The following is a 6,783-nucleotide window of genomic DNA, read 5'->3' on the forward strand; positions in this document are numbered from 1 at the left end:
TTACCATGGTGACATATACATATTATCTATAAAAAAGCCAGTGAAGGTTAAGTTACAATGTTCAGTGGTGTGGCCTTCAGGTATATGGAAAAAAAAAATAGCAAAAATCAAATGACCAAAATCTCAGTCAATGGTAAAAGACTACATGACTTCCCTCTAAGACTGGGTAAAAAGACAAAGATATCCATGAATATTACTTTTATTAAACACTGTTCCGGAGGTTGTAACAAGTGCAGTAAGGCAAGGAAATGAAATGGAAGGTATGCATATTGAAAATAAATTTTTTTAAAATTGTCTTTCTTCACAAATGACAAGATTATGTACATAGAAAATCATAAGAAAAATCACAAAACAACTTCTAGATCTAAAAAGTGATTTTACTATTACAATTCACATAAAAATCTATAATATTTCTGTATACTGGCAATAAACACTAAGAATTTTAAATTATAATACCATATACAATAGCATCAAAAAATAAAATACTCATCAATAAATTTGACAAAATATATGAGATACATTTTACACTTATTTCTACAAAAATTGTTGATATCAATTTTTAAAATCCTACATAAATGGGAAGATCTACCATGTGTTTGGATGAAAAGACATATAATATTATTACAATAAAAAATTCTTCTCCCCAAACTGATTTATAGACTTGATGTCATCCCTTCAAAAATTCCAAGGAGAAAATTTGGAAACATTGAAAAGCTAATTTTAAATTTTATATAAATATACGAAATCCCAGAAAAGCCCTCAAATTTTGGCAGGTTGAAAAAGAAGGCTGGAGGACTTACATTACCTGATTTCAAGACTTATTGGAAAAACATGTAGCCGGGCGCGGTGGCTCACGCCTGTAATCCCAGCACTTTGGGAGGCCTAATCCAGTGGAACATGAAGTCAGGAGTTTGAGACCAGCCTGGCCAACATGGTGAAACCCCGTCTCCACTGAAAATATAAAAAAAAAAATTAGCTGGGCATGGTGCCACATGCCTGTAGTCCCAGCTACTCAGGAGGCTGAGGCAGGAGAATTGCTTGAACCCAGGAGGCAGAGGTTGAAGTGAGCTGAGATTGACCCACTGCACTCCAGTCTGGGTGACAGAGTGAGACTTCATCTAAAAAAAAAATAAAATTAAATTAAATAAATAAAAAGAAAGACATAGTAATGACAATAGTTCACATAAGAATGTACATGCAGAATAGTAGCCTGGAGTAGAAAGGCTACAGGTAGAATTATACATACATGAACAATTTGTGATTGACAATAATATACAGTGATGAAGTAGCTACATATCTATGTGCAAAAACATTAAGCTTGGCTTTTATCTGATATCATGTACAAAAAATGAAATTTAAATTAATTATAAACCTAAAGTTAAAATGAAAAAACTATGAAAGTATTACAAATAAAAGTTTTCCATAATAAATTTTTGTGTCTGTGGAAATAAGCAAAGATTTCTTAGTAGGACAGAAAAAGCATGAACTATAAAAGAAAAAAATTATAAATGGGACTTTATCAACAACAAAACCTTTTGAGACAAGGGTAAGAAAAGAAAAGGCAACCCAAAGACAGGAAGAAAATATTTTTTATAAATATGACAAAGGATTTCTCAATAGAATATACAATCAACCATTAAAACCATAATAAGAAAGGGAAATAAAATTAAAATAAGAAATTTAGGTTTGATTTTAAAATGACCAAATGATGTTTAACAGATACTTTACAAAAGATATCATAGATGTTATCAAACACATGGAAAGATGCTCAGCATCTTTCTTCATTAGCCATCAAGGAAATGAAAATTAAAACCATAGCAAGATACCACTGCAAACACACTGTAACAGAAAAATTAAAACTACTGGCAATATTACATGCTTGAAAAGATGGGAAGTAACTGGAACTTTCATACATTCCTGGTAGGAATGTACAATATTACATCCCTATGTAAAACAATTTCACAGTTATATATATATATATATATATATATATATATATATATATACACACACACACATATATATGTATGTGTATATGTATGTGTGTGTGTGTGTATATATATATATGTATATATATATATATATACATATATATATATATATATGCGTAAACCCAGCAACACCATCTAAGAGAAGTGAAAATATAAAATTTTCTTTATTTCCAAGGGCCAGAAACTAAAAACAACCCAAATGTTTAACAAAAGGTGAATAAATAAACATATGTATTTGTGGGTCTGTGTGTGTATGTATGTGTTTACACTCACAGTTTAGTGCTACTCAACAATAAGGAAGATCAAACCACTCATCTACACAGCATAGATGAATCTCAGTAATACTATTTTGAGTAATGCTGTAAAACAGTTGTCCCCAAACATTTTGTCACCAGGGAACACTGTCATAGAAGACAATTTTTCCACAGATGGGACATTAGGAGGATCGTTTCTGGATAAAACTCTTCGACCTCAGATCACCAGGCATTAGATTCTCATAAGTAGCACACAACCTTGCATGCACAGTTCACTATAGGGTTTGCTCTCCTATCAGAATCTAATGCCACTGCTGATCTGACAGGAGGCAGAGCTCAGGTGGCAATGCTTGCTTACCTGCTGGTCACCTCCTGCTGTGTGGCCCAGTGTCACAGGATACTTAGGGTGTCACTTTGCCAGCCAGAAACCTCTGTGGCCAGTGAAACCTTCTGCCTGAGTATTGCTAGTGCCTGCTTGGCTCATTCTGCCCCCTTGGCCTGGCAGGCTGTGTTCAGGTCACACTATCAGCCCAAATCCCATACCTCCCGCGGGCAAACCAGGTGCAAAGTGGAGAGGGGTGTGTGGGCGAGCAAGCGTGGGGTCCGGCCACTGTGTCCAGCGTGCTGACTGCTGTGGCAGGGTGGGCAGCTCCAGGCATCAGCACAGGTGCTGGCTCCATATGAAGCTGTGGCTGGACCAGATATACTGCATGCAGCTTCAGTTTTGGGCATCCGCGTGTGGATGAGGGGAATGTGGTGGCACCCAGAGGCTTGGAGACGCCAGTAACCACAGAGCTCCAAAGAGAGTGTCACAGCCCTGGCCCTGAGAACAACTAGGTCTAGGCTCCCCAAAGGGCTGCAGCTCTTCTCTCCTTCTAGTCACCTGCAATGCAGCAAATGGGAGGGCATGTTTTAGCCATTTGTGTTACAGCTCTTTCGGTCCTGCCATTCAGCAAGTTCCAAGTTCTTGTCCTGCATCCATGAAGAATGAGGTACACGGACAACTGGAGGGTGAGCAAAGCTGAGAGGACTTTCACTGAGTGAATGACTCTCAGGAGACCCACCATGGGAAGTTCCTTTCTGCAGGCAGGTTGCTCAATGTCTGTGTGAGTCTGGCTGGGTCTGGGGGTTTTATGAGCTCAGAATGGAGGAAGTTTGCACTGACTGGTCCCTGGGGAGCCATGGGCAGGCCAGAAATAGCACAGGTTTTCACTTGAGGATGTGGACTCCACCTGGAACTGACAGCAAGCCCCCGGGCTTCAGACCATCCCTGGATTAAAGGTGAGGCTTCACCAGGGACCTACCCCTTCCTGCCCAGGGGCCTGTCTGCCTCCTGCCACCACCAATCATGTCCGTGGTGCCCAGGCTGTTCATGCTTAGGGGTGCCTGCAGGCCTGTGCCAAGCTGCCCTCAGGACCCCCTCGAACTCCCTCAAGTCCAGAGGGAGTTCAGGCAGCAGGGACCTGGTATGTCAGTGCCACCTCAAGTACTCACACACCCAGCTAGGTCACAACAGTTCCTGGGCTTAGCCTCAACTTTGCTCCAAAACTGGAGCAAGCACTGGAAGTAGGGACAGAGGCCTGGTAGTGGGAGCAGGTACTTCCAAGCCTGTGGGAGCATGGGGGCTTCTCAGGCCCCTGAGAGTGCAGGGAGGCCCAGGTAGATTTCCCTTAGGTTGTATCCTTTAAGTTTTGCCTGATTTATATAAATTTTCACATTTTATATAGGGACACTTCTAAAATGCAGGGAAGGGGTGACTAGTCACTGACAGGAGAAAAAATTCATGGACATTATAAATGAAGAAAAACATAAAATAATATTAAAAATAATGAGAGATTTTACACTGATCAATGATGATCATGGAGAATGATTAACTCAAAGTTTCTGTAACTAAAAACCAATTAAAATAATTAAGACTTTGGGAGGCCAAGGTGGGGGGATTGCGTGAGGTCAAGAATTGGATAACAGTCTGCCCAACATGATGAAACCCTGTCTCTACTAAAAATACAAAAAATTAGCCAGGTGTGGTGGCAGGCACTTGTAATCCCAGCTACTCAGGAGGCTGAGGCAGGAGAATCTCTTGAACCCAGGAGGCAGAGGTTGCAGTGACCCAAGATCACACCACTGCACACCAGCAGCATGGGTGACAAGACTGAAACTCTATCTCAAAAAAAAAAAAAAATTAAGAAACATCTCCCAAAATAAAAGACGTGTGCATTGAATGATTGAGGAATACATTGTACCTGTATGTAATGAGCTTAGAGTCTTCTGGACCTCAATCATTTGATGTGTCGTATATGCAACCCACACTTACCCAGATTCACTTATTTATTTATTTATTTTGCAGATATAAGTCAGCACAGAGCAGTTTATTTGCACCACCATGGCTATATTACTTGCAAAAAAATTAGTTATTTTAAATTCTGTTATCTTTTTTAAGTATCAAATATGAGTACCTTTCATCTGTAGTCATCATACTATTCAGAACTGTGCTTGCCCTTTCCTGGCATTCAACTCATTGCAAAGTAAGGCAAACAATATGGTTAAATTCAGTCTACTAAATCTTTGTAAGAATTATTTGTCTTAGAGTTATATATTAAGTTCTGCTGAGATTGGATGTACTGTGGGCAGCTGTTGGCACACAGAGAGATATTTGTGTTCTTACCTACTTTTTAGCCACTCTAAATGGTTGGGGTTCTGCTTTCATTTCCTTGCCTCATTCCTCATGTTCCATTTGTATTAGGAAGCATTACTCTAATCTCGCACTGAAACTAAAAGGATGCCTGCCCTTGATAGGCTCCCCACTCCCAACCACTCTCTTTAGAGGAAGATATTATAATTAATACAATATTTGATAACCATGTTTCAAAATGGCTGCACCATTTGATATTTCTCCAACAATTGATGTTAAATTTGGTTTATCCATATCATCACCAACACTTGTTATTGTCTGTGTTATTTTAGCTTCCTGTGGATATGAAAAGGTATCTCCTTGTGGTTTTTAATTTTCGTAATGTACATGCTTTTTTATTTTGAATGATCTGAATCCCAAATAAATGATATTATTTCTGCCTGATTTTGAGGGGAGATAGTTGCAGCTGTTCCCTAGATTTCTGCTAATACAATATAACAGTCTCAGTAGAGGGGCTTACCCAAAATATGCTCAACTTTGTCACTCTCCTTTAGTCTTGATACTCCAAACTACTTGGCTACAATCAGGTCAATCACCCTGCTTAGACTCAACTTCTTTTCTTGTCAATGTAATCTCAGATGCTAAAGTCCTTTATAAGCAAGTCTTGTAGAAGTTATATACACATCTGGTTTAACGACAACAAACTGACTTAAAAAAAAACATTGATTATAAAAGAAATTAGCTGCTAGTGCCAGTCCTAGTGGCTCACGCCTGTAGCCTGTAATCCCAGCAGTTTGGGAGGCTGAGGCGGGCAGATCACCTGAGGTCAGGAGTTTGAGACAGGCCTGGCCAACATGGTGAAACCCTGTCTCTACTAAAAATACAAAAATTATCTGAGGACATGGTGGCAGGTGCCTATAATCCCAGTTACTCGGGAGACTGAGGCAAGATAATCACTCAAACCCGGGAGGCAGAGGTTGCAGTGAGCCGAGATCTCGCCATTGCACTCCAGCCTGGGCAACAACAGTGAACAAAACTCCGTCTCAAAAAAAAAAAAAAATAGAAATTAGCTGCTAGCTTTGCTGGCTTTTAACAAAATAATCCATTCAGATTTTAATGGAGTTCGTAGGAAATTATTCACAGAAAATAAATATCAATACATAACTGAAAATATACTCTGGCAGAAAAGCTGTATCGTGTATAATTAATTGCATTATACAAATTATAATCTTTTATAGATTTTTTAAATTAATGTGAATTAAAGTTAATTTAGAGAATCGGAAATAATAGTTTTTATAATTATGGTAGCATATTTAAGGCTACATTTTCTGAATCTTTAAACTTTGCAAACTGATTCAGCTAATAGCTGGAGACTCAGAACTACACTGATAGCAGATTTCCTCCAGACAATAGAAGATTGAAGAGAAAATTTAAAAACAAATATATAATATTTAAAAAATGTTCTTAATTACACTGATGCAAACACTAAGCAGAATTTTGTGTCTAGTTATAACTAGACTTGCTCTCATTTGTTTATCTCTGGAATATTAACCCAATATTCACTGCAGCTCTCTGAAGATAAGTGACTAAGAAGATGTAACTAGATGATATTGTACATAGACACAATAAATATTTTTGAATTCATGAGGAAAAATAAGTAACTCACTATTATAAAACCATTGAGGCAAATTGATGTATAATGTTTTATATGAACAAACATTTGTAAGAAGACTTAGAAATGAGTCTCTCTTAATTTATAAAATATATTTAATCTAAATAGAAGTAATATTTCAAATGACTGGTAAAGTTACAATTAAATAGAAGAAATAAGCTCTGGTGTTCTATTGCATAATATGATGACTGGTGTTAACAAAAATGCATTGTATATTTCAAAATAACTACAAAT

The 6,783-nt window shown here is 37.8% G+C and overlaps 2 annotated features.

Moving 5' to 3' along the window:
• Positions 2,326–2,827: an enhancer, noted in NCBI's record as "H3K4me1 hESC enhancer chr5:84256683-84257184 (GRCh37/hg19 assembly coordinates)". NCBI's record gives its function as "activates a minimal SCP1, AML or CMV promoter by ChIP-STARR-seq in naive H9 embryonic stem cells {active_cell/tissue: H9 hESC(naive)}" and the evidence as "EXISTENCE:reporter gene assay evidence [ECO:0000049][PMID:30033119]".
• Positions 2,828–3,327: an enhancer, noted in NCBI's record as "H3K4me1 hESC enhancer chr5:84257185-84257684 (GRCh37/hg19 assembly coordinates)". NCBI's record gives its function as "activates a minimal SCP1, AML or CMV promoter by ChIP-STARR-seq in naive H9 embryonic stem cells {active_cell/tissue: H9 hESC(naive)}" and the evidence as "EXISTENCE:reporter gene assay evidence [ECO:0000049][PMID:30033119]".

This window comes from Homo sapiens, chromosome 5 (genome assembly GCF_000001405.40).
Source record: "Homo sapiens chromosome 5, GRCh38.p14 Primary Assembly".
In the NCBI taxonomy this organism is placed as follows: Eukaryota; Metazoa; Chordata; class Mammalia; order Primates; family Hominidae; genus Homo; species Homo sapiens.